General features: G+C 43.3%; 4 long non-coding RNA genes across 10 annotated transcripts in view, besides 1 other annotated feature; 2 read left to right on the forward strand and 2 right to left on the reverse strand.

The window, feature by feature from the left end:
* LINC02981 (long intergenic non-protein coding RNA 2981) overlaps positions 1–9,267 on the forward strand; it is a 142,382-nt gene extending 133,115 nt beyond the window's left edge. For all 4 annotated transcript variants that reach the window (NR_148499.1, NR_148501.1, NR_148502.1 and 1 more), the window contains one exon: positions 6,570–9,267. This is a non-coding gene — a long non-coding RNA (long intergenic non-protein coding RNA 2981). The remainder of the gene's footprint in view (positions 1–6,569) is intronic.
* Positions 1,438–7,142, reverse strand: KIAA0087 (KIAA0087 lncRNA). Its single transcript, NR_022006.1, has 2 exons — positions 6,723–7,142; positions 1,438–5,337 (listed from the first exon to the last, which is right to left on the reverse strand). It is a non-coding gene; the product is annotated as a KIAA0087 lncRNA (long non-coding RNA).
* Positions 9,268–11,871: 2,604 nt separating the features above from the next.
* LOC124901605 (uncharacterized) lies at positions 11,872–19,310 on the reverse strand. The gene is made up of 2 exons (XR_007060263.1): positions 19,042–19,310; positions 11,872–12,951 (listed from the first exon to the last, which is right to left on the reverse strand). It is a non-coding gene; the product is annotated as an uncharacterized LOC124901605 (long non-coding RNA).
* Positions 18,136–19,335: an enhancer, noted in NCBI's record as "MED14-independent group 3 enhancer chr7:26589438-26590637 (GRCh37/hg19 assembly coordinates)". NCBI's record gives its function as "activates an origin of replication core promoter dependent on BRD2, BRD4, P300/CBP and CDK7 cofactors, and independent of MED14, by STARR-seq in HCT116 cells {active_cell/tissue: HCT116}" and the evidence as "EXISTENCE:reporter gene assay evidence [ECO:0000049][PMID:35650434]".
* Positions 20,156–27,197, forward strand: LINC03095 (long intergenic non-protein coding RNA 3095). 4 transcript variants are annotated; one of them, NR_184280.1, is made up of 4 exons: positions 20,156–20,527; positions 23,126–23,236; positions 23,339–23,544; positions 24,791–25,460. It is a non-coding gene; the product is annotated as a long intergenic non-protein coding RNA 3095 (long non-coding RNA). The 4 variants fall into 4 exon arrangements; NR_184281.1 differs by lacking the exon at positions 24,791–25,460 and adding an exon at positions 26,715–27,197 and having other exon boundaries at positions 23,126–23,544; NR_184282.1 differs by lacking the exon at positions 23,126–23,236.
* Positions 27,198–27,622: the final 425 nt, after the last annotated feature.

Consider the following 27,622-nt stretch of genomic DNA (forward strand, 5'->3'; position numbering starts at 1 on the left):
AGTGGGGGCAGGGGTGGAGTGAGATGAGGGAGAATGGAGGGTGGTGGGGGTTGTGCAGAATTTCTTTTCTTAAATGAAAAGCCCAAATAAAATAAATAAATGAAAACATAAATCACAGTGTCTTCTGCAGGCTCCTGGCTGGAGGAAAACAAATTAGAAAGGGCTTGAATGAAAGGAGTATTGAAGAAGCTTGACTTGAATTAAGTGGTTATATATTTTAAAAGCACTTTGTTGGGTCCTGTAAAAATAGCAAATAAAAAGGTAGTAATATCCCCTGGCTCTGCAAGGCAAATACCAGTAATAAAGTAAGCTTGGGGGGAAAATATGAGAGAAGTAAACTCCAGTAGAAGGGAAAAAGAAAGCATTTGGTTTAGAAACACTTTCACTTCTCCCTTAATAATTAATGATGAGATGCTATGTTTTCAAATAGGTATCATGTGTCTTTCTAACACCACTCACTTTCCTCTTAAAATGCACCCCCGCAAAAAATTTAAAGACATAACCTGAAAATTCTTTCTTTTGAAAGGCAACCTAAATGAACTATTTCAGGGCTATCAAATTGTTATAATTTGGGATCCATTTTACAATCCCTTTTTTCATAGTTTGAAAAAAAATTCACAATGAAAATTGTAGCCAGCACTCACCACAGGAGTCAAAAAGGGGTTTGCAACCCCTTTTTGACCTGCTGGGTTATTAAACATTAACTGGAGAGCTTAGATATTTTTATAAATACGTAGGGGCTTGGGCAATGAGTCTTAAAGATATAGCTACGAAAAAAAATAACATGAGAAAAGTTACCAAGAAAGAGCTAAATGAACTTTCTTCTTGTTAAGAAATGTTTAGGTCCTTTTGTTTGTAAATGGCAGGTGGGTCATACAATTCCAATGTAATTTCAGAAAGCCATCTTCTGAATGTAATAAACATGTCTGCAATAATAGGATTCAGAAAATAGCAAAATGCATTCCAGACGCCCTTTGATTGTGCATACAGAACAGAGAATTTAGCTATAATTGGCTATAACACAGTTATGGACACCAAATGACACACTGTGGAGTTGGGTGATGTAGCAGCTCTGATTAGGGATGCTACATTTCAGCCCAACACCAGAAATCAAATAGCAGCATATAGTGACACAGCACCTTCCCTTCCCTTCCCCTCCCTCCCTCCATTACTCCCTCCCTTCCTTCCTATCTTCCTCACTTTCTCCCTTTCTGTGCAATTAAAGTATCATAAATGAGACTAGAAAACTTGTTTTATTATTATTTAACTAATCAGTTGTCAGCCAAGACTCCATTCTCTTTGGAAGCTAACAATTGTTTGGAAAGGGGAAGTAAGAGTCCATGGAGAATTGACTTTTGGAGAACTAGACATAATTTGAATCAAGAATTATAATAGGAAATAAACCATTACAATAAACAAGGAAACATGCACACAGTTACTTTCATCGTGTAATTTTATTCACTCTAGTTGAGAAAATAAAGAGATAATACTGACCGAAGCACCTGGGTATTTAATGCAAACTGTAAAATCTATTATATTAAACAAAGTCAAAAGCAATGTCAAAGATCTTGAATATTCAAGGCATGCACCTCATTACAGACTTAGCAAATTAAAACACAAATAGGATTAGAAAAGAATAATGTAACAATCTCCCACTACGGTCCCTAGAGCATTAAGTCATAAATTGGGTTTGCATTAAATTGTGCCTGCAGTATTGAATTCAGGGAAAGAGCTGTGGGCTGGAGATAAACCATGCTGGGCTACTCACCAACTTTGGCAAAGCTATGTGTTTTCTGAGACGTGTAGTAAATTTGTTAGAATACAGCAGTTCCACAAAAAAAAAATGAGCACTTCATATCTTAATTAAAAAAATGTCTGGTGTCACGGCATGTGAGGCCTGCAGAGATGTAAATGCAGACAAAATCCACGTGTGAAATGGAGCTGTATTTCCTACTTAAGTTTAAAGTCATTTCACTAAACATACTGCTTAATACCAGACACATTTAAAACAAAACAAAGTCCTCAACACAAGGGTTTTCATTAATTTTGTTTTGGTTTGGTTTTTATTCCTGTTTGTTTGATTTTGCAAAGGAAGGAAGAAACGGAGAAAGCAAACCAAACTCTGTAAAGAACACGTGTGGACTTCCAGAATATCCAAAGAATGTCCCCTTTCATTCCATATGAAGATCAGACAGACCTTAACTATTCTGGCCGATCAGTAGAAACATACATATGACTTATTTTAGAAAGCAAATGAATATACTTAAATCAGTTTTTAAAATGATGCAGGCTTTGAAAAACACTCGACTACAAAGCACGTTCCTTCCATTTCAAGTTTATTCTCTTGGGTTTGTTTTCTAATCCCCTGTACAAGAGAGGCTGACTTGGGGAAAAAAGAAATTGCTGTGATAGTTCTATGGCATCCACGTGATATGCCTTATGTTAATTCCTACTTGTTGTCTCTTTGCGTATGGGCAGCCCCACTCTGCTCCAGCTGTTGGTCCTTGTTTCTTTAAGGCCATTTTCAGGCACAGAACACACTTTATTTTCTCTTCCTTTTCATTGGCGTCCTAAGGCTGTTATGAGAATTAAAATGGAAGTAAAATGCCAAGGAGATAGTGGGTACTCAAAAATGCTAGTCTAGGCTGGGCGCGTGGCTCATGCATGTAATCCCAGGATTTTGGGAGGCCGAGGCGGGTGGACCACAAGGTCAGGAGTTCAAGACCAGCCTGGCCAAGATGGTGAAACCCCATCTCTACTAAAAATACAAAAATTAGCCAGACGCAGTGGCAGGCACCTGTAATCCCAGCTACTCAGGGGGCTGAGGCAGGAGAATCGCTTGAACATGGGTGGCAGAGGTTGCAGTGAACCGAGATCACGCCACTGCACTCCAGCCTGGGTGACAGAATGAGACTCCATTAAAAAAAAAAAAAAAACTAGTCTACCTGCTCCCACTTCATCGCTGAGTACAGGTCATGAAAGCAAAATCTGCAAGGCGTCCCAGCCTCACACGTTCCCCGGCGGAAGTCTAAGCTGCTGTGCTCAACGGTGTGCAGACTCTTAGGCTTTGCAGTGAAATGTCTAGACCTTGCTGTTGTGGAGAGTCCAGGCCTCCTCTTCCTCTCCTGTTTATCTTCCCTTCCTCACCCCTGGGCTCCCAGGGCTCTCCCTCCCAGCCCTTCCAGCTGTCGTAGCCTCCAGGTGACAGGTTTCTTCATCACACTTAGCAGCAGGCAGTCTGTTTAAGCCTACATTCTCTATTTTTAAAAGCTTGTTCGAAAGTCTAAATGGCTCCCATTTTGGCTTTAGTAAGACAAATATGGGCTAAAATACGCGGTGCCCCTTAAGTATGATGGATACTCAAGACCCGCTGAAGTTTCCCGTCGCCAAAGTCTGGCTTCTCACTGTGGCAATTTTTCTACCATGTTATTTATGTGGTGGTTTTACTTCTAATTATGGCTCATCATGGCTGTTAGTGCTGAGCAGTAAGACAGCAAACTGCATTGTACTTCCATTTAACTCCAGCCCATAAAATGGGCAATAAAACCGAGGGCTTAAAAACCAAACAAAACAAAACAAAGCAAAAAAAACTTTCTGTGACAAGCTCACATCCGCTTCTGCCATTCTCAGGCTGGAAACTCTCACTGAGGAAACACATAGAGGCAGGTGATTTCTGGGGCCTGGGCGCCTCAAATTTCAGCTTTCAGCAATCCTTTATTGTAGACAAAACAATCCCAGACCTCGGATATAATTAACACATGCCAGCTTTAATCAGAACCAGTGTACTTCGTTGTTTAGAAACTAATGAAGGCAAATAGATGTTACTTAACACTGTAAATAATGAAAGGTCTTTTGTTGTTCTCAATTTTGATTACTATTTTTTGATGCTAAGAAGAATGCCACTTGGTGTGTGTGTAAACAAAGAAGATAAATGGCTGGGATGAGAATGAGTTGTCCGTAATCTGATTAAAGCGATAGAGCTGGCTCCTAGGAAAACCTCACAGGGCTTAATGATTGGGTTGTTGTTTTTAATATGTCTAATGTTCACTCTTAAAGAAATCAAGAAAAATGTTAGGAGGCTCCTGATATTTCACCGTGGCAGTGGCTGTCAGAGCTTCCAACAGGAAAAGAACATTCCCTGTGGCTGGGAGCACAATGTCCAGCCATGTAAGCTAATCTGCCCAAATGATATTAGGAGGCATTTTAAAACCTAAATCTGCTCCAATTCATTCACTCTGCTGGCAGAGCCATCAGGGACAAGGCAAGGACAGGCTTGGTTTTTTTGAAGTTGTGATGTGGTAAAACAGCTGGGAAACTCTCTACTTTTCTTTTTCTTTGGTTAGTTCTTTTCCTTCTTGACAAAATGCTCCTGGATTCCAGTTAAATGTCTGCTAGTGTTTGGATAACAAGTACATTACTTAAAAGCCTGTGTATACTGTAGCCTGTTAAGATATTAGGGAGGAAACTTAGACTCGTTGAGCTCTGCAAGAGCTCATTTTTGTCAAATGTCATTATTTGCCCCTCCTATCTTATAGTGTGAGTTCTGTGGGTGTGTGTTTGTGTGTGTGTTCATGCAACAATTACTTATAATTAAGTAGTGCTGCAAATTCACATCAGTCTTTTACTCCTAGGAAGGTCTGTGTGCATTGTGCATTTCCTCCAGTATACAATCATCATGGAACTTGCAGATCACCTAATAAATTTTAGGATTACCCCAATAATATTAGGTCATTAGGATCTTTGTTACATCTGAAACTCCAAATTGGACAATTAGATTCCAGATGAACAGGAATTGAATTATTCTGCTTATTTTAAGCCAACAACCCAAATAATTTTGAATACTCCCATTTCAATTCAATAAATATATATAGATAGCCCACTGTGTGCTAGTGTCCTATTTTGTGGATGAGAAGCTGAGGTTCAGAGAGGTTAAATAACTTCCCCAAGACAATTAGCAGGGTGGGTAGTCAGTAGCCTAGTCCTAACTTTAAACAAAATCCATCAGATTCTCAAGTTCATACTCTTCCTATCACCCTGTGTACCTCAATGATCAGTTAAACCTCTGTGTTTCAACAAATATTGAATGTCTCAGACTGGCCTCTTTTCTTGGTGGTGTCCATGAATCTGATAGAAACAAGCAACTGACCCTTTCCCAGTCCAAGAGAAGCAGCAGTTGGCAGGGATGTGGCCAAATTCTTCCCCATACCATGGTGAGCGGGGTGCTTCAAAGTATTTCTCGGTCCCCCGATGTGTCTGCCTCCTCTTTCTCTCACAGACCAGCATTTGACTTTGGTCACTTTGTAAGCCCAACAGACTGAGATTGGATTCCCAGAGACCCTGGGAGGACCACGGGGTGGAAAGGAAGAGAAAGAGAGAGTGAGAGTGAGCAAGAGAGAGAGCTTGTTCTCTTTCTGTCTTTTCCAACCCTTTTCCCCCTCCTGCTGGCCCATTTTAGAGCCACGTTGTCACACATTGGCACCCCATCTGAGGGCAGAGAGAGGGAATGACAGGAGATGAACAAAATCACAGCTGTATTAGAGACTTCTGATTTTTAAAAAGGATGTGGAAAGAGGTTGAAACTAAGCTGCTTTCTCTTGGAAGATGGTTGCAGTAAGTTCAGGGGCAGGTTTTTAGCATCTGAACATATTAGCTAAAGTATTTGAATATAATGCGCTATGCTGCATGGTGGAGTGGAAAGGGGCCAAGGATAGGTGGGATATTTGGAGTGGTCTTGGGCAAGCCATTTCACCTCTCTAGGCCTCAGTTTTCTCATCTTCCCCAGGTACACATTGAGCCAGACAATCCCTGAGGTTTCAGAGGAAAGCAGTGAGGAGCAGGGTGGCACACAGTACTGGAGTCAGCTGAGTGGCCTGAACCTTAGCTCGAGCTGTGTGACCTGGGTTGAGTTACTCACCTTCTACGAGGCTTAGTTTCCACCTCTGTGAAATGGGGATAAAGTGTCTGCCTCAAAGGGTCATTAAGGGGGCTAGATTGGTGAATGCACAGGCAGCTTCTGGAGAAGGAATTTTCCCAGGACTAGGAAGAAGAACTGGTGAGTGGGAGGCTTTGAAGGTGAGTGAGGGATGATAACAGGTCTATGAAGAAGTTCAGGCTGGGAGAGGTCTGGCCTTGGAGTGGGTTGGGGGTGCTCTGGGCAACCCTTTTCAAGGGAGGAGAAAATGGAGTAACCGTCAGGACAGAAAACAGGGTGCCTTGGTGCTAAGTTCCAGGGGGACATTGCCTTGGGGGAAGAAAAAGACATCTTGGAACCCCTATCTGTTTACTACTGTTCATTTCTTAATTCTTTATTTGTAATGAAGATGGGAAGGTTTACAACCTTGACAGTTCCATTTATTTCTACCATTTTCACCTAAAACAATACAAGGAACATCAATTATTTCCACCCTGGTTTCAACTGCAACTGGATAAAGTCGGCTTAATTAAACATGTTCAGTGTCTGAGGGTCTGTTTTGTTTCTCTGTCTGTCTGTCTGTCTGTATCTTTCTTTCTCTTCTACCAACCACCACACCATCCCTGTCCCCTTCTTCCTTCTCCTCTCCGTTTTCTAGCCTCACAGCTGGGCACAGGAAAACACGGAATAAGGACCCAGTGAACTAAAGGGGCTGAAGCCATGACTAGGAATCATATGCATGAAGAAGCCCAGAAGAGCCAATCCTCCCCAGAAGGGCACCCGGAGACCACTAAGGAAGGAGGGAGGATACCTTCTGTTCCCGTGTTCAGGCTCCAATGTATCCAGGTCACAGGAGGCTGCCTCTCCAGGCAGAGAAACTGATCCGTCCCTATCAGTGCCAGGCAGAGGGCAGGGGATTTCGCACCTGAGCAAGGGTTGGGATGACTCCCAAGCTTCCATTCTCCCTGGAGTTCCTCCCGAGGGTCTCTGTGACACAGAGGAGGAAGCAGGAGCTTTCTTTGCATAATCATGGTCAAATATTTATATTTGTTTAGGATTTGCTTCTATAGGATGTTTTCGTCATTCAAATCTATTTCCAAAATAAATCTGGATCTCTTTTATAAGAAAATGCAATGAAAACACCAGAATGATAGAGTAAGAAAATAGAACTGAAATTACTGAAAAGGAGCTGAGGAATTAGATGTTGCCAGGCATCTGAGATGAGATGATTAAAACAGCCAGGTGGCTCTGAGCTAAGGCAAAAGGCAGAATCTGGGGCAACACAGTTTATATCATCTGACAACATAAAGCATGCACATCCTTTGTGTCAAGCCGCACTGCTTCCTGGAACAAACTCAAGGCAGAATTTATTACCTGGGTTCCTGTTTAAGTGCATGTCGAATGACCAGTTGATGAAAGCCTTCAAATAAAGTTTTGCAAAAGAACAAAGAATGAGACGTGGAGTACTGACCCTCTCTGAAAGGATACCAGAATTAAGACTACAGAAGCCGACCCAACATTTGCTCACTACCTTTTAAATTGGACTTAATGCCATATTTTAAAAAATAACCACTTTTAAAATAATTTTTGCTTATATCAAAAGTAATACAGGTGAATTTCAGGAAATTTGTAAAATACAGCTTCAAAGAGAGAGGTGGAGAGAGAGAGAGAGAGAGAAATCTATCATCTATCACTCACCACTATTAACATTTTAGTGTCATCTTCCCATGTTTTTGTTTATGCATAGATATGCATATCTATTTTGCAAAGATAAGAAATTACTATATCTTTTAAACGTTTTTATTTGATAATGTACTATGAATATTTCCCATTCAATTAAATACCTCTACAGTGACACTGAATGCTTATGATACTGTATTGATATTAATATTGTAGAATACATCAGGAAGATATTATTACAATATGTTTAACCAATCCCCTGGATGCTAGATATTTGGGTTTCTAACATTTCATCTTTTTAAATAATTCTGTGATGAACATCTGTTCGCAGGGTACCCTCCATGACCAGTTGTGTTTCAGAGAAGGCAGATCTAGTCCATTCAAGGCCAGGATCCCCCGGAGGTCAGTACATTATTTGCCCAGTGAACTGTGGGCATATCTATACTTTTTGCACTTTTCCAGGCAGGAAGGAGGAAGTAGTACTGAGAACCCACTGTCTTGGGTTAAGGAGCATTCTCTGGGCTGCTTAGGGGAGAAGATTTCTATCCCAAGGTCCTGCAGCCTTGGGGTAAGATGGGAGCAGAGAAGACAGAGTGTGGGGCCACTGTGGAGGCAGCAGGGAGGGGTTCCTTGTGGCCACTGATCGGAGCCCTCATATTCCTTGTGGGGAGGCTCTAATTTCTCCAGAGATGCTTCTCTACTTGGAGGTCTGCCCTGTGTCGGGAGCATTAGTGGCCCTGCAGAGAGGTGGGACGTTATTTGGATACTCTTGCTCGTAGGGAGTTTGTTGCCTCCCAAAAGGTGTGTGGCATTTGTAAGTTGTTCTCCTTTTCCATGGTTCTTCAGAAGACTTGAATATGGTTTGTAATCTAGGCACCAAAATTGAAATTCCCTCCAAAGAGCCACACAAATAAATGACCTCCCATACCATTAAGTTCTCTCTATGCATGGCAATCCCTAGTTAACCTCAGACAGGTAAGAAGAGAGAGTGTTTTTCATCAATGACAAGGAAAGTTTTTTCTGGCTAATGTGGTATAGTAGCAAATGCAACTAAAAAGGACACCCCCAAGCATGTCTTTAATTCATTTGTACACATCCAACAACATCACTTTTAAGTACACATAGGTAGGATAAATATTTAGTCATTAAGTATCTGAAGTTATTGTAATTCTATTTCAGCACTATTCTTTTCCCTACATTAAAAAAAAATTTCTAGACTGTGCTTCAACCTCAAAGGACATACCTTGGACAGAATATTCCATTAAAGACATTGTTGGAGCAACTTTTATTATTCATTAGTGTGTTTTAAAGTGGACCTGAACAGAAATGCTTTTTGCTAAAGTAAAAATACATCCGTTTCTATGATCTAATTGTGCAATTGGTTAGAATTTCTATCTATCAGTTCAAAGGGAAACTTGGTTTCAGTGAATTTGTTTTTAATAAAAATGTGCTATCTATGATAAATATATTTCACTTTGTTCAAATGGATTTGATTGGGAAAACATATTGAGCAGAAGTACTGGTACAGCTTAATTTCATTGCTTTGAGAAAACGTATTGAATGCTGGTTTGAATTAAATTCTATTTGTTTTAATAAAAGTGTATTGGCCTGAGTGTACATATATTTGTTTTAGTGGTAGTGCATTGGATCCAATAAAACTATATTGGCTTCACTGCTTATGTCTCCTTTTCAGTGAAAATGGATTGAATGGGAAAACGAAATAGGCATGAAGCAGCCAGCCCCAAGGTCTCTGTTTGGTAAGAGTATCCAAACAAACCGGGAGAGAGGGGGGTTTCCATAGACTTTATATCAAAATATGCTTTTAAATTTAAATACCTTTTACTGTCAAGGACTCAGATGTGAAACTGAATTGCCACCATAAAGAATGCAATTTTCTGAAGCAGCCCTTTCCATGGACAAGTTATGGGACTGTCCAGGACACTAGAGGAAGAAATCCTCTGACAGCCCAGAGCAGGTTTGTCAGCATCCCTTAAACTTCACACAGGACTCATTGGTTCCAATAAGAGGCTGTCTACCAAGCATTCCTAAATCCCTTAAATGAACAGAAAAGGGATCATGAGTACTCCCTAAGGATGGTGCTGGCCCATCAGCATTGAAACGGGTCTGACTTTGAACTGATTGAAAAGAGGGGAAAAGGGAAACAAGTGTCACCCTGAGACATACTTCAGAATCACCAGACTTCCCAAAGATTATAGACCCTCAGAGAAGAATCGGCTTCACACAAGGGAGTTGATGCTGGTACTGCCGTCTAGAAAATGGCAGCCTCTGCCAAGTGCCACGACTGCATTGTGTAGCTGTAAATGGCTCCAAGATGCCAGGCCACAGATACTCCTTTGCATAGGTGCCCTGACCCAAAAGCCGGTGTTAAAATGATGGGGAGTAATGACAATATTGGCTGCTATCCCTACGTGACTGTCTCTCGATTAAAGAAAGTATGTGCTCTGAATTGTTTTTCCACCAGAAGATGAACTTGATCTGACTCCTCTACCCAGTTTCATTTAGCCTTGATGAGAAATAAATGCAAACACTATTTTCATTAACACCTTTCTTCCAACTAAATGTGCTAACAAGCTCCAGACTTCAACCTTCCCATTAATAACTGCTAATTTTGAAGTAGTATCATTACCAAGGAAATCTAAGCCCTTGGTGTGTAGTTGCTCATTTTTTTGAATGCCTGAATCCTTATAAGACCCTACAAGGATAAGAGAGAAAAATTTATTCACAGATTCTTTTTTTCCTAGAAATAGTCCCAGTTATATACTAGAAGTCAAGAAAAAATGGAGTTTGTGATAAAGAAGTTTTCTGTGCTGTCCTTGGAGGAGTGGGGTTGTGACCCTGGGAGACAGCAAGTGGCTCACTTTGTCAGAATGTAGCACTGATCGGCCACATTACATAAATATGATGTGGGGTGAGAAGATTTCAGGAACTCCCAGAAGGTGAGTGGAGAAATGAGACAAAGAGGGGAGGCAGCTAACACAGGGTTTGTTGTTAAGCACGTTACCACTGTGGCCAACCGGAGCTTGAGCCTGCTGTGGGAAATCTAGGAATTGGCAGAAAACCTATGTCTTAGAATTAAGGGGCAAGGAGAAAGGGAGCTGAGGTATGTATAGATCATGCGCATTTATACATTCGTTCCCATCCTCATTAGTTGAGAGCTGCTCCTGGGAGCATTAATTCTCTAGTGGACCTAGCCTGCCAGGTGAGCAGGCACCATGGGCTCTGACCCCCAGAAAAAGCCTTAAGGCAAAGAATGCAGTTGGCAGCGGTAAGGCTGAAGGGCAGGGCAGGGCACTGGTAAGGCCTACTACCCTATGAAGCCCACTTTACAGATGAGTAAACTGGGAAGTAGAGGTTTACTGGTTCTCCCAGTGACACAGACAATAGTCAGCACAGGCAGAATGCAGTCCCAGCTTCTGCCTCACTTGAAAGTCAGTGACTTAACCTTTTAGCCACATGGTTCTGATCATGCTGTCCAGCTGAGGAAGCGGCATGCCTCCCAAGTTTTTTTTTTTTTTTGAGGCGGAGTCTCGCTCCGTCGCCCAGGCTGGAATGCAGTGGCGAGATCTTGGCTCACTGCACGCTCTGCCTCCCGGGTTCATGCCATTCTCCTGCCTCAGCCTCCCGAGTAGCTGGGACTACAGGTGCCTGCCACCATGCCCGGCTAATTTTTTTGTATTTTTAGTAGAGACGGGGTTTCACCGTGTTAGGAAGGTTTCGATCTCCTGACCTCGTGATGTGCCCGCCTCGGCCTCCCAAAGTTCTGGGATTACAGGCGTGAGCCACCGCGCCCAGCTCTGCCTCCCGAGTTTTAAAAATCAAGTTTTGAGGGTTTTTTTCACTGAGTCAGGGCTGGGTGCTGTATTGCAGATAGGAGAAAGGGAACTGGAAGTGTTACACTGCCTTAGCTTCTGCACCTAGAAGTGGCCAGATAGTGATCTCTCTTAGGCTGAACTGAATCTTAGCATCTAGGTGCATGTTCATGGGATGCTAAACTCAACTTGTCCTATGATACATCTTTGATTAATAGGCAATTGCAAGTGACTGCATGACCGTGTGCTCCTGGGTTATTTTCAGCGAGCCAGGGGCTCGCAGCTATCACCCAGCTCCACCAGCAGTTTGTTTGGCAGTTTGTCCCTCTTTCGTATTCATCCTTTTGCAATCAGCTTTTCCATTTCAGCCGTGCTTGCTAGCTGCAAGCTGCTTTGTGACGTAAGTTATGATGACTTTGTGCTATAAAATAAAACAGCAATCCTCACAGCTGTTTTGATTCCATTTAATGAAATGGTGGTGACATCTGAATGTCACAATTGCAGAGAGGCGGATGGGTTGTTGCAGTTGCTGATAGGAGAAGGATCAGTGTTATTCCCTGGGCTAATATCTCATATGACAATTCTGCAGTTACCATCGCTCTGTGTCAGGCGATGGTGACTGCTAGGCGCCAATGGACCTCTGGTTTTTCTTCACTTCCTATAAATACAATGGGGCAGTGGGGTGGAGAGGATGAAGACGGCATTGTGAAGATTGGGAGAAATATTTTGGGGGAAAGAAGCACACACCTAACAGTTGCTGCCATTCAAGAACTTGAAAAATACACCGTTTTGGGATAACCAATAGCATGCATGTATCCCATTGAAAAGTGCTGGAAAAAATCATTGGTTTCTCCTTCCTCGCCATGCGTAAAGCAGAGAGCAATGCTGGGAAGACATCAGACAGAAAACATGGAGGCAAGTCAAGAAGCCAGTCTCTCCTTAATCAATTATGCGAGAGTATTATCAAATCAATGAATTCACAGTGTGAACGCTTGCGGCAGATGGACGAACACTTGTCGGCTATCCGGAGCCGCGAGAGAGTCAGATTTATTTTCAAAGCTTGTTTGTCTCATTTCTCCTGCCTGGTGCTGGAAGGCAGAGCATGCAGCTGTGATTTTTCAAATGTAAGAGATCTCCAACTATTTTATAGTGTGTGAGATTGGGCTCTGCAAGCTAAACTCTCTAGGACTTCTGGCTTTTTTTCCCCTCAGAATGAGGACAAAGGAGTGCAGGCTTAGCCAGCGGTCTCTCTCTCCATGCTTACAGTTCTCAGCAATGGAAGGATGAGGTTGGATGGATCCATGACTGGCATTCCGGTCTTGGCTGTGATGGTGAGGTTTCTCCTACTGTGATCTCAGAGATGGGGCATATAGGAAGGAAGAGGAAGCTTCTGCCTGAGGCACAGCCTGTGTTAGGACGATGGGCCCTTAGCACAGGAAGGTGTTACCAGTGGTTCTCAGGCAGCGGTAGCACTCCTTCCTGCCACCAAGGCTTCTGGTATTCTTGGCTGGCAGACATCTTGATTCTGAGCTGATCAGGGAGAAAAGGGAGATCATTTTGAGTCAGAACTGGTAATTTCACAGCATCTGCCATCCAATTGCAGAAAGCATTTTTCAAGTTTCTCCTTGTGGTAGGAATCATCATTCCGGTTTTGTGTATTGGGCCAAGTGGAAGTTCACTTTCAGTCTTAAAGTCAACAAGGAGTTCATGAACATTCTGGGTCTGGATTTGCAGCCTCCTGACCCAGTGCATGACCAAGAAGCCTTGTTAAACAAATTCTAAGTACTTCAGGGCAGAGTGAGTGGTGGAGGCTGGCCAGGGTCTCAAGGCTGTGTGCCTCAGTGTGTTCATTCATTCTTTCATTCATTCAATCAGTTGGTCAGCAAGCCTGGATTAGGCCAGAGGTTCTCAACCCTACCTACCTCTGACTAAGTCAGACTTTCTGGGTGATTCTATCACGCAGTCAACATTGAGTCGCTGTGCCAGGCACTGAGGATACCATGGTGCACAGAACATTGTCCCTGTCCTCATGGTCCAGGGTGACAAAATGGAACACGGCTGTGATAGAAGTAAGCTCAGGCTTCTGATAGAAGCAGCCTCCAACCCAGATAGGGCAAGGAGAATGAATCCACAATGACTCACTGGAGGGGCAGACACTGCACTGATTTCAAAAAAGAAGCAGGGATTCTGAATTATCTAGTCAAAGAATGGGGAAGGCGCATTGCACAAAGTCCTGGAGAATCTACAAGGAGCCTCTTGTAGCCATTGTGTGCAATGCAAGCTAGAGGGAAAAGTGGGCAGATGGGGAGAGAGGTGAGCTGGACTGGACGGTGGAGGCTTTAGGGGGTCATGCTGGAAAAGTGAGCCCCTATTTTATGAGAAAACTCTTTGAAGGGATTGCCAAGATCAGATTTCAGTTTCAGAGAAAACATCCTGGCAGCTGAGTGAAACAATAGATAGGAGGGGGCTATGGACAGTTACAAACTGAACAAATGAAAATCACTCATATTTGCCACTGTTTACAATTACGGTTTGGCTTTTGGGGGAGAAAAGATAGATGGTAAAATTTTATTGAAAAAAAAATTCTATAAAATTCCAATTGGGTTGTTTTAAGGCAAGCACTTTTTAAAAAACTGAACTGAATTTGAAATCGAAAAATTAAAAGATTTGCTCTGAATATATGTTTTTGGGGATACACATGCACACACACATATTTGTTTGATTCTCTAAACAAATCGCTTCTGGCTTGGGATTTAAAAAACATTTTTTGCGGGGACAGGATCTTGCTTTGTCGCCCAGGTTGGAGTGGTGTGACCACAGCTCACTGCAGCCTTGAACTCCTGGGCTCAAGCAATCCTCCTGCCTCAGTATCCCATGGCTTGGGCTTTTTTGGGAGGTGGTGGTGTTTGATGAGCTCAGCTCACCTCTCACCCCATCTGGCTACTTTTTCCTCTGGTTTGCATTGTACACAATGGCTACAGTAGGCTTCTTGTAGATTCTCCAGGACTTGGCACAATCTGTCCTACCTTCCATCTTCTGGCTGAAAGGATCATGCTTTGTAGAGTTAATTAAGAAGCCAGCTTCCAGAGGCAGAAAAACCTGAGTTTAAATCTCATTCCTGCCCCTCCATACCTCAGATTCTTTGCCTGTAAAATAGGCTGGGAATAGCACCTTCTTCCTGGTAAAACAATGAAATACATGTAAATACATATACATTCTTGTGAAGAGCTTAGCACAGAGACCGGGACATTGGAAACAGTCAAAAATGGTAGAAGGAACCAAAAGGCAAAAGACGGAAAACAAACAACTCAGAAAAGTAATGTGCTGATCCATCAAGTGACCCGATTTCTATTTTATTCCACTTTGGCATGATCTGGCAACATTTTTTTTTTTTTAAACAAAAAGGAAAAGAGACTTGTAGGTCAGAGTCTTAACAACCAGTCTCTATAAACTTTATGCAGAAGAGCTGTATGAACTCGATGATTTCTGCTCTAAGCTGCTGAACTAAAATTGACTTGCAAAATGACCTGCCTCTGCTCTGGCGACTGTCGCTTGTTCTGAAGGCAGGAGAGAATTTGGCTCCTTCGCTTATGATATCTACAGTAACCCATCAGCTGCTGCGCTGAAGGATGTGTTCAGCATTCCCCTTTCCCCTTTAATGTGCCATTAAATCAAATACTCTATTAGCAGAATTAGTTCATTCAGTGTCTGCACTGAAACGTCCTGTGAATTGCGTGTGTCTTCGTAAATGGCCCTGCACTCTGGGGTCTACTTCAGCAGTTTATATCCTGCGGAGGAGGGCCGAGCTGCCCAAGGATCTGACGGCCTTCCTCTAAGTGAAATATTACGGCTTCCACAAAGGATAATTATTTGGATCATTTTGCCATGTGCAGGCCTGGTTAATTCCAAGCACCGTTGATCAGGCTCTGGCCCAAAGCCTGCTATCCTCACACCTGCAGCCGGGACCTGCCTTGGCCACGGGCTTCCCACCTTCTCAGCTTCTCAGCTATGCATAGGTCCACTCTAGAGACTTGTTCCAAAATGCATGCTTTTCCTGAGAGTGAAAATATGGAAAAATTCCTTTCCCCAAAAGAATTTAGGGCAGGAACTTAGCGTGTCTCCATTTTTGTTTTCTGAGGCAAGAGCTGGGCTTAAAACTCAGCATCTATATTTCCATTCTCTCTTACTTACACTTGTCACCCAATACATGTGAAAGCAGGCAATGACAACTGCTGTGCCTCTGTCATAATAATCTCATGCTCTGAAAATTAGCAAGGATCTCAAGCACGCAATATCACATTCAGCCTGGGCATGTTGAGCACCAGCATGATTCTTCATCTGCCAGGGCTCTGGGCTGCTGCTGTGGGCACTCTGGCTGCTTTTCCTTTATGTCGAGTTGCATTTAGCCAAGGTGCATTTCATCTGTTATACTCTCTTTTACTAAAGCAGAAAGTCAGTATGTTAGGGGAGTATTTGCTCCATACCAGGTAAACCTTAGAATGGTGTACTGGTAAATGTTTGGCCTTTTTTCAGGGGATGGAGGGGAAAAGCCTGGTTTATAATGTCTGCCAATTTCCATGGTGTAAATACTGACACTGTGGCTGATTTCAAGCTACCAACATGACATTATTGAATACAGAGTTGGGAAGAAATGTTTGCAACACTCCCATTCCATCGTACTTCCATGAAAATAAACCTCAAGAGCCATATGTAATAGTTAACTATATAAAATGATTAGGATGGGATGAGTTTTGAATATTCATTATATCTTAAAATGTAACCCATTTAATTATAAGTTTATACAATTTAACTTTGATAATGACTGTGTTTAACAATGGACTTGCAAAATTCCTCAGAATTTAACAGCTGGCTCTCACAAGCTAATATAAGCCAGCTCCACACACCACTGAGTTTCAGGATAGAAAATATTTCTCATTTACAACTCAGTCCAGCATGGATATTTGACAGTGGCTCTCCACATGGTGACTCAGGGACCCAGGCTCTCTCCATTTTGAATCTCCATTCCTCTTAGGAGCCTCGGAACCCTTTGCTTCCAGCTTGGGGTTGGGGAAAGCACAGAAGTTTTCACATGGGTAGTTCTCATGGCCCAGACTTGGAAATGGTTTGTCACTTTTGTCCATATTCCATTGGTTGGAATTCTGTCACATGGCCACACCTGACAGCCAGGGAGTCTGGGAAATATAGTCTAGCTGTGTGCCCAAGAAAGACAGGAAATGGGGTGGATGAGCATCTAGCCCAATTCTGCCATACCACTGGGATTGACTCCTTCACTGGCTGATGTCAGAAAGCAGGTAGACTACGGAGGAAGAACAGCTGCCCACCTGTCCTTATTGAACATTCGAGAGTTTAACAGGCATGAGCAATGAAATTAATTGTTATGAATTTGGCAATTAATAAATAGAACTATGACTGTGTAGGAACCAGGATAAATGTTGTTTACTGTTACTGATGGGGCAGGATGCTGTGGCAGTTGCATGAGCTGGTCGAAGCTCAATGGTCCCTTCATCCACTCACCCACATATCCAATAAACCTTTAGTCAGGCTCTGTGTTAGCTTCTGGGGATGCAGATGTGCTTAGGACATGCTTATAGTCCAGTGAGGAAGAGAGAATCAGACAAGCCAAGGTCAAGTGAGTGTTCTAACCAATGAGAGAGCAGCTAAAATTATGGAACGTTATTCTCCTCCTTCTAAGGAGGAGACAGTTGATGTGGTTCTAGTTGGATGCATGGGTAGAATTTTCTAGGTATAGAAGGGGAAAGATATTCCAGGCAAGGGGAACAGCTTGTGCAAAAGTCGAGGGGAATGGCAGAGCATGGCTTGTTCCCGAAATGGCAAGAAACTCTGTGGCCAGAGATGGGGCTGAATAGATTGGCTATGTCAAATTGTAAAGAGCTTTCCATGGAGTGGATAGGGGTTTGGAATTTACCTGTAGGCCCATGCTTCTCAAACAGGGGACACCTACCTCCAGGGATACTCAGGGGTATGCCAGAAAGGATGTAAAGACAGCGAAAAGCTTCTTTATTTCTTCCCTTGATGGTAAGCAATTCAAAATGAGTTTTGAGAAGTCCTAGAAAAGAGTTCTTTTTGTCTCAGTAGAGTGGATATCATCTCAGTGGACTTCCATCTCAATGAACTGATACCAGTCCTGTGGTCAGTGCAACGCTATGCTCAGATGGGCTCGAGCTGAGCACGTGCTGCACCCCTGAGCCCCGGGGTGGGTGCCCACCCAAAGCCCAAGAGTTAAGAGAGGGGAAAGGGTGCTCTAGAGGAAAATCCAGACACGGGAACCAAGAAGGGGGAATGGCTGCCAGGTAGCCCAGCCAGCAGCTGACCCCTACAGGTGAAAAACAGCAGGTGGACAACTGTCCCTAGAACTGCCATTTGCAATAGAGAGCAGGCCAGGTATGAGAGAGAAAAAAATCATTTTCTTTCAGTTTTTGGTTCTTGAAATAATGGGAGGTCCAACAGAATAATGAAAGGGCTGTTTTTACAAGATAAAATCAGGTGGGAAGCTGGGGTGGGGCTGGTCCCGTCATCTCCAGCCCTTGAAATATAAACCAGCTCCCATCCTGTTTCCTCTCAGGCTCCTGGCCTGAGTAGCTTCTGGGCAAAGCCAGTGGCTTCATTGTGGTCACTGTAATTGTGCCAAGTCACGAACCTGTAGGCTGAGCCAGGAAGGCCCCAAAGCAGATAAGCCAGGCTGGCAACATGAGCGCCCCTCACCTCACATCCTGCCCCACAAATGGCTTGAGCAGGAACCACGAAGCCTGGAGCAGACTCGGCTGTGCTGCGTGCTCTTGGGAAAAGACCCACAGCCAAGCCAAGACCACAGTCTGAAGACCCTGAGCCCCACGGAAAGGCATTATTTGTGAGGCCTCCACGTTGGGGGTGTGGTAGGGAGAGCAAGATTTTGAAATCAGAGAGCCTAAAGTGGAATCCCAGTTGTACCCTCTGGGATTGTCTGGAGACAAGCGGCTTTAGCTCTGGAACTCAGCTCCCTTGCACATACGTGCAGATGACAACGCCTGCCCTTCAAGGTTGTGAAGATTCATCAAGACCACATGAGTGAAGCACCTGGCATCAGGTGTGGCACAAAGCAGGTGCTCAGGAAATGCCAATCTGCTTAATAATAAGAAGAGAGGCCGGGAGTGGCAGCTCATGCCTGTAATCCCAGCACTTTGGGAGGCTGAGGTGGGCAGACCTCCCAAAGTCCTGGGATGACAGGAGTTGGAGACCAGCCTAGCCAACATGGTAAAACTCTGTCTCTACAAAAAATACTAAAAGTTAGCCGGGCGTGGTGGCATGTGCCTGTAATTCCAGCTACTTGGGAGGCTGAGGCAGGAGAATCGCTTGAACTGGGAGGTGGAGGTTGCAGTGAGCTGAGATCATGCCACTACACTCCAGCCTGGGCAACAGAGCCAGGCTCTGTCAAAAAAAAGAAGAAGAAAAATGAGGAGGAAGAGGGAGGAGGAAGAAGAAGGAGGAAGGAGGAAGGAGATGACACCTAGGAGTGGTTACTATGTACACTCAGTGCCTTCCCATTCCTTATCTCACTTAATCCCAATGACTGTCTGATGCAAGTCCCATTGTTATTCTCACCTGACAGCTGCAGACGTGGAAGCTCACAGAGGTGGAGTCATCGCCCAGGGTTACACACCTGATGAGCAGAGAGCTGGGATTCGAACCCAGGCAGCTGGGGGCTGAGGAGGCCGAGGGAGAAGCAGCTGGTGATGAAGCCTAGAAACGAATCAGGTCTGCTTCCTTGCTTGGCATTCGGTGCCATTGACAGCAGCCTCCCCTCAGCAAGCAAAACTTGCTCCAAATTGAGCTGCGAGTTTCTTGCAGGGTGGAGCTGCCCTCGGCTGAGTGGAGCCAGGAGGGTGAAGCAGGAGTGTGAACGGTGTGAAGCACCCATTACAAATTTCTGGCCGCCATCCTAATTTTAGAGGCTTCATGTTTCAATATGAAATGCTGTTGTTCGTGCCACAAAAGGAGGAAACAAACAGAATCGTGCCAGGAGAAACCCCCTCCCCCACCAAGTTTGATGCTGTAAAAATGTCTAATGGGGAAATCTTTTCAGTGGTAAATTACCCCACTGCCTTCTTTTCCTCTTATTTTGCATCGGAAGCTCTCCTCAGTTCCTACTGGAAGATGTTCAAGGCTGGGCCAGGAGAATTCTAGAGACTTTTTCCCCTAATAGGCACCGTGTTTGTGGAGAAGTCCACTAAGAATCCCAGACTTGACATAGCCCTGGCATTCAGCGGCCGCCTCACTCCCATGTGGAGTGAAAACCAGGAAGACAGCAGAAGGTGGCAAACCCACTGTCAAGAACCAGAGTAGCAATTTCTTGCCATTGTAGTGATAAATTGCTACACTGGCTGAACTAAAAATTGTAATAATAATAACAATTAACATTTATGCAGCATGTACAATGCTCCAGTAAAATATTCTTTTAAGGTCACAATGTACCTTTATCATGATGTTGTCATAATGTATCCACAATAATAGCAGCACTAGCTAACATTTATTGAATAATTACTGTGGTTACTTTATCTGCATCATCACATTAATCTTTAAAACTTCACAACAATGCTTTGAGCCTGGTGCTTTTATTATTCCCATTGTACAGTTAATAAAACAGGTTTACGTAGTTAGTGGCTGAGCTGGGTTGCAGACTCAGGCACGTCTGAATCCGGAGCTGGGGTTCTTACCCACTCCAGTGACTGCCTCTCAGAAAAGAACAGGGCAATGTCCATTCTCCTTTTATTTTCTTTAAGCACCTGATCATTCTAAAAGCATGTGTTCCTCCGTGTGTGTGAGTTGTGTACACGTGTGTGTGTGTTCCTTTCTTTTCTCGGACTCCAGGCTCATGACTGCTTATTTGCATGGTGTTTTGGTGTCAAAGGAGTGTTGAATGTGTTCTCCACACACCCAGCTTTATTCCACTCTAGGAGTTTAACTTCTTCAGCATTGTTATGAGGTCCCCGGTGACCTCAGTTTCTCCTCTCCGCGTCATCCAGGACTTCACCTGAAGCTTGAGCTACACGTAAGACTTCATCTACCTTGCACAGGGCAATGGAGAGAGGTAAGTTTCTGGGACCAGAGGGGTGTTGTCTTATCCTCGGTAGAGGGAGTGCAGAGGAGGGATGGAAAGGACAGGAGAGGACTGACTTCAGAAGGGGTCAACTGGGATCGTTCCAGGCAAACTAGATTTGTGTCACTCTGCTTAGCTCCCTTCTTACAAACGGATGTGAGAATACATCTTCGCCATCCCTTGGCCTGTGAGGCTGGCCCCATTACTGAATGTGTGGAACTGAGAGGTGCACTGAGTAGAAGCAGTAACAGGCAGCAGGTGCTTAACTGTTGGCTGGCTTTTTCTTGGCTTTTTCCTCTCACTCGTTGAAGGTGCAATGCCTCATCTTGATACTGGATCATTTCTTCTGTAACTACCAAGTTTTGTAGATTTGCCTCCTGGAATCTATGATGCTTCTGTGAGATTCCTCCTTCAATGAAATGAGGGATAATTAAGTAGCCTGCTGCATCCAACCTCAGCCTGCCTTCCTGTGAGGTGTCTACGTGTGCCTGTGCACACACACGCCCGCGCACACACAGGCATGCACACACATGTGCATCCAGACATCCATGCATGCACACACATGTGCATCCAGACATCCATGCATGCACACACACACACACACACACACACATAGGTGTAAAGTTTAGTTACATTGGAATTATTTACTTGTTTTCAGAACACTAACTGTAAATATGTGTTTATATCACTGGGTCACTAGGACTTTCTTATTTCTGCCTAAGTACCTGAAGTTTCTATTTCTCTATTTTTCAAAATTATTTTTAAATTAGAAAAATAATCCTCAAATACAATATCATTTAAAAAGACTCAAACGATACAGAAGGGACGTATGGGAAAATGTGAAAAAATCCCCTTTATACAACTGATACTTCAAAACACTCTCATTCCCACCTACCAACCCTCTAACAATAGAATAACTTCATATTTATGCTGATGGACCTTTTCCTATGTAGTGTGAGCTTAGTGTGCAAAAAAATCTCAAAATATTTTTGAAAGCGCCTCTTTTCATACAAGTTTTATATTCTATGAAGAGAAAATCTGCTAAATGTTACTTCCCTATAGTACTGCCAAGTTGCTTCTCTGAGCCGTTAGACAACTTTTACCCCATTTCCCCTTTGCCTTATTGGTTGAATGTGGTTTTTGAATTGCTAATGGGTCAGGTGTGCCACAAAGGAAAGAGCCTGGGCTTTGGAGTCTAACTTGGTTTGAATCCCAGTAAGATCCCTGTTTAGTCTCATAGACTGGGTAAATTGTGTTCATTTCTTCCCAGGAATCAAGGGCCAGGACTCTGCAGCCACACTGCTGCCTGGGTTCAAATGCTACTTCCCCCTTGACTCAGTGGAAAGCTTTCAAAAACCACTTGACCTCTCAGTGCCTTAGTTCCCTCACCTGTGAAATGGGGATAACAATAATATCTCCCTCTTAGGGTTGTTATGAAAGCTAAAAAGTTACCTCAATGCCTGGCACACACACAGTGAGTGTTAAATAAGCCTCGGTTGCTTTTTATTACCCTCCTATGTGTACAGAATTCACAGCGATGTAAGTCTACATGCAGGTGATAAAGATCCTGCCCCAGGGAACACAGATGGGTGCAATCAAACCATTATTAAGCTAACAAGACAGCATGACCCTAAAGCTCCTTGCAGAAATTTTCACCACCAGGGCGCACACAAACACAGAAATAATTCTGCTCAGACTCAAAACAGAGAAGTGACCCCCAGCCCCACCTTTGTCTCATCTTCCACTCCATCCATGCATTCTTTAGATTTCAGCTGTTCTCTTCCTTCCCAGCTCTTCTATTCTCTTCGTCCTCACCAGGCCAAGACCACATATTTCACACCCCTCCCACAAAATGACAGAACTACTCCCACCTCTGCCATCTTCCCTCCTATCCACAGGGTCTATGCCTAGCCATCTGTTTGGGTCCTAAACTGACGCTTGGAGCATGTAACATCCACTAAGGAAAGTTTGTCTTAATTGCCTCCCTTGCTGATCACAATGACATTCAAAATCCTTCATCAAGGTTATCTTCAAACCCTCCTTTCAAACTAGCCTCTCCCTGTGCTCTAAACATGTCTCCCAGAATCCCTGCTCTGAGCCAACCAATTCAAGTTTCCCATGGAATGTAATTGATACACAAGAGGGAGTTGGATGAGAACATCTTTAAAGCCTTCTGAGCCCTGTAGATCATTTGCAGACATTCTACAAAACTACAAATAGTCACCGCACTTACTATGTGCTAAACATTACGTTAATTGCCTTTGTTTTATGCACATTAGCTCCCTTAATTCTCATAATAGTTTGATGAAGGAGGTAGTATTACTATCCTGTTTTACAGACAGAAAAGCTGAGTCTTGGGGAAGATAAATTGTGGCTCCAAGGCTACCCAGCCAAGATGAGCAAGACTGAAACACAGACCCACATGACACTGCAGTCCCGCTCTGGGTGTCAGAAGAGTGCTGCTTCCCCCAGCTTCTGTTAGCCTGTGTTAAATGTTTCCAGGTTGATCCTCCAGCCTACCCTCACCCCTATGCTTTCTTTCTAAAACATAAGCAGATGAAAAATAAAGCATGAGTGCTTCTTCCCTAGGATGGCATACCAGAATCACCAGATGACAGACATCGGGGTGCTGTCGGACCCGGGAATCAGAACCTCTGCAGATAGATATTTTGGAAGGCGCTCCCTAGATTGGCACCTCTGGTTAGAACCCTGCCCAGGGACTGGACAAGTTGGGCCCATGGCTCATATCTGGCCAGTGTTCATTGCTTTGTTGAATCACACTTAATCCTTTGGTTTTGGTAGATTCCTGCAAGTAGACTGACAGCTGCATGTTTGCAGGAAAGTTAAATATTTTGACAGCGCAGAAGACTGCTGCATCTGGAGGGTTCTGGGTCCAGCTATAACCAGACTTGCCTGTCCTAAACAAATGGATTGACTGCTTCCGGCATCCTCACTTTACTTCTGCATGGTGACCAACATCCGGAGCTTAATTACCTGACAGCCAGGAGGTAGGGGGCAAAGGAAACCTTTTAATTTATAGTAAGAAGTGATCAGTTCCTTTTTTGGGTCTTAGTTAGAATCCAGGTGCACTTGAAACAATAAAACCTTGTATATAGTTTTCTCCTATAAGAAACTTCTCAGATATTTACCAAAATCCTGGAAAAATATATATTGGTCAATATACCACAATTCCCACAAGAGGTAAATATTTACAAAATCTACTTTGGGCGGTGATGCTGCAAGAATATTAAAAGGCGTTGACTTTATCGTCAAGTGAATTATTTCTTAATTTTTTAAAATTTAAATCACAGTATATTTGACAAGCTACAGCAGTAGGAAAACACCTTTGCTTTAAACAAAACTACCTTTTCTCAGCAAGAACAGTTACTAGAGTGGGAAATAAGGTTAATTTCAGTTTTATTAATAATATCTGAAATGAAATAATGTTACAACTCTCCCCTCTAACCTCGTTGCTAGACAACTTAGAATATTTATTTATTTCTCCTTCAGAGAAAATAAGAGTGGATGTTACCTTTAAGCAACATACACATTTAATTAATGAACACAAGGAAAATGATTCCGGTTGTAGTTAAATCGGGTACAAGCATATAGGATTTAAGAGATCTGACCTTAGAAATGAAGAAAATATTATTGTAATTACTCCATTTGCTAAAAACAAATGATGTGGCATTTGAATTTAAGACTTCTATCAAAAGCAGTTGAGTGTCTGTAATCAGTTCTCACCTTTACATTTTAATGGAGTTGAGGTTGAGCCGTTGCATTTACAATTATCTAGGCTGACTTCATGCCTTTGAAATGACTTAAAAAGATTAGCATTCATGGATTATTTATTAGCTCCTCGTGAACGTATTTCCAAGAATGGAAACAACGTATTGCATCAAAGTCTAGTTTCCAAGTTTAACTCTTTTAATGAACAGCATGACTGTACGATGCTGCAAAAGGCATCTCTGAAGTCACAGGACATTTTGTCATGCTTTTCCCTTCAAGTGCATCTTTAGTAGCAGTCTTTGTTCCTTGCAAGCTCAGGGAGAATGTTGATTCCAGCCCTGGCAGCTGCCCGAGATGCCCTGTAAACACTACGGCTAGCAGAAAGCAGGCTGCTCAGGGGGGCAAGGCAGCTGATCCCAGCCTGCTGTAGCTATCACTGATAGGGAATGCCTGTCTGGGGCTCGGCAGAGAACTCAGTGACATGATGGCCCTGGCAGTTTAACCCAAACACACTTTTCTGCCTAGATAACAAAAATGTCATGCCTGAGTCCCTGATAGCAACCCCAGAGGAGCTCCAGGTTTGAGGCAGCGCTGGCAGGACGTGGTCTATCTGCCATCTGAAGCCCTTCATTGCCCGCCTGGCTGTGAATCTCACCTCCTCTGTAGTGGAAAACAGGCTGAACAGAACTGGCAGGCAGGTAAGGGACAGCAAACCTTGCAGGGAGGGCCTAGTGCTGAAGCTAAGCCAGCCCTTTGAGTTCAAGCTCAAAGACATGTGATGCCAGCTTTGCAGGGGAGCTAAGATTCTTCCGAGAAAAAGCAGAATGAGAGAGAGATATGCAGCTGCAGTGGAGGACTTGGAAGAGAACAACGCCAGGTCCTGGATCCTGCAAGAATCTCCTCTGGAAAAGCAGGGGAGAGAAAAGCAAGGAAGGAAGCAGGGTCACCGCAAGTGTGGGATTTGTCTTATTAAAATCTGATACTGTGTGGCAGTTTGCTTCACTCTTGGTATAAAATGTCTGAGCTCCATGTTAAAGTAAATGTAAGTAATATAAATCTGCCTTTCCTGAGGTGAAAATAGATCCATATTATTTAAAATATGAACTGAGATAGATGACAGTTACAAACATTATACTTGTTCTTATTATAATTCTTACTAAGCTCAAGGAATAAAAACTGGGATGATGAAAAAGAAGTTCTGAATGTAAAAATTGGTGTTTTGGATAAAATACAAACCAACCCAGAAATGATGAAAAAAATCTGCCCTGCCTGACTTGCTTTGTTGCTTTGCTCATGGAGAGTTCAGCAATCGTGTCATTTATTCATTCATTCACTCACTCACTCACTGACTCATTCATTCAGCAGCTATCCAACCGGAGCTCGCTGTGAGGCAGACACTGTGCTGGGGACACACAAATGCATCAGATGTGGAGTCTGCCCTCAATGAGCTTATAATCTAATAAGAAAGAGAAGGCAAGTCCACATGTAACTGTAGTACGAGGCAGGATGTAATAACTGCAGAAAGGGACATGAAAGAAAATGCCGTGAGGGATTGCACCTCACTAGGGGGAGGTTTTATTTGAACTATCTTCTAATGGATGGGCAGAATTTGGACAGTGGAAGTGGTGGGGGGTGGGGTGGTAAGGAAAATCCCAAGAATGCTTTGGTGTAGAAGGTCCAGCAATCCCTGCCTGGTTTGTTGTCTGTGTCCATGAAGTTGAAGCAGAAGAGGAGCACTTGAGTACCTGTCTGCAAGAGCAACTGACCTGGCACCCCTGGTTTTTCCAACTGTCTCTTTCTGTGTTCTCTGGCAAGACACCTATGGGCTTTAGGCTATTTTTTTTTATTTTTTATTTTTGAGACAGAGTCTTGCTCTGTCACGCCGCCTGGAGTGCAGTGGCGTGATCTCAGCTCACTGCAACCTCTGCCTCCCAGGTTCAAGCAATTCTCCTGCCTCGGCTTCCCTAGTAGCTGGGATTAAGGCACGCACCACCATGCCCAGCTAATTTTTTGTATTTTTAGTAGAGACAAGGTTTCACCATGTTGGCCAGGCTGGCCTCGAACTCCTGGCCTCAAAAGATCCGCCCAACTCGGCCTCCCAAAGTGCTGGGATTACAGGCGTGAGCCACCACGCCCAGCCACTTTAGGCTATTTTTAAAAATGTTGTTACTATGACAAACTAACTTCTAAACAGAATTTTAATATATATAATTAGAGCAAAAAAAGTACAAATATAGGTGCATGAAGAAAAAATTAAGAAAATATCACCCATAATTCTACCATTCACTGAACATTGTGTGAGATAATCCATTAGACTTTTCTATTTATCAATCTATTTTTTTAATTAAAATTATATATTACACATGTGGTGTTATAATATGCTTTTACCATTTATATTCCAAATATCTTTTTATACTGATGGGTACATATTTTGATATGTGCTTCTTAGCCAGGCTTCTGCTGCCATCTGGAAGGTCCTCTGCAGGAGGTGGCCCCTGTGTTGCGGTCTGTGGACTGCGCTGCCCTTTCAGCTGTGCTCCTCTGTGTGTAGAGCCGAAGTAGGCCCACAGTGTGGGGAGAAGGCCCTGTAGAAGCCACAAGTGAGATACCATGAGCTGGGAGTGGGGTCATCTGGGTGGACAATGACCTGACCTGAGGATACTGGATCTCTGAGTCCTGGGAAAAGCACAGACCAGCATTATCAGGCACAGAGTGCTTTCTTTGCTTTTAGATTGACAGAGATGATGGTAATCTCACTCACTGGGCAAAGTAGGGGAGGTGGTGACATTACTCTGTTTGTCAGGGTGACCAGCAGCCAAGGGAGGCCACGGACACACTCAGGGGAGATGAGCACAGCCACCCCCTAGAATGAGGGTTTTTGATGTTTGCTTGAATGTTTTAATTGTGATAAAATAAACATAATATAAAATGTACTATCTTGACCATTTTTGAGTATACAGTTCAGTAGCATTGTATATTCACATTCTGGTGCAACCAATCTCCAAAACATATCATCTTGCAAAACTAAAACTCTGAATAGTACCCATTAAACAACTCCCTATTCCCATTCCCCTAGTTTCTGGCAACCACCACTCTGCTTCTGTTTTTAATGAGTTCGATTACTCTAGATACCTCATATAAGTGGAATCATACTGTATATGTCTTTCTTGTCTAGCTTATTTCACTTAGCATAATGTCCTCAAGTTTCATTCATGTTGAAGCATGTCTCAGAATTTCTTTCCTTTTTAAGGCTGAATATATTCCATTGAATGGCATATTAGTCCATTCTCATGCTGCTAATAAAGACATACCCAAGACTGGGTAATTTATAAAGGAAAGAGGTTAAATGGACTCACA

The sequence above is a fragment of the Homo sapiens genome, chromosome 7, assembly GCF_000001405.40.
Source record: "Homo sapiens chromosome 7, GRCh38.p14 Primary Assembly".
NCBI classification, from domain to species: Eukaryota; Metazoa; Chordata; class Mammalia; order Primates; family Hominidae; genus Homo; species Homo sapiens.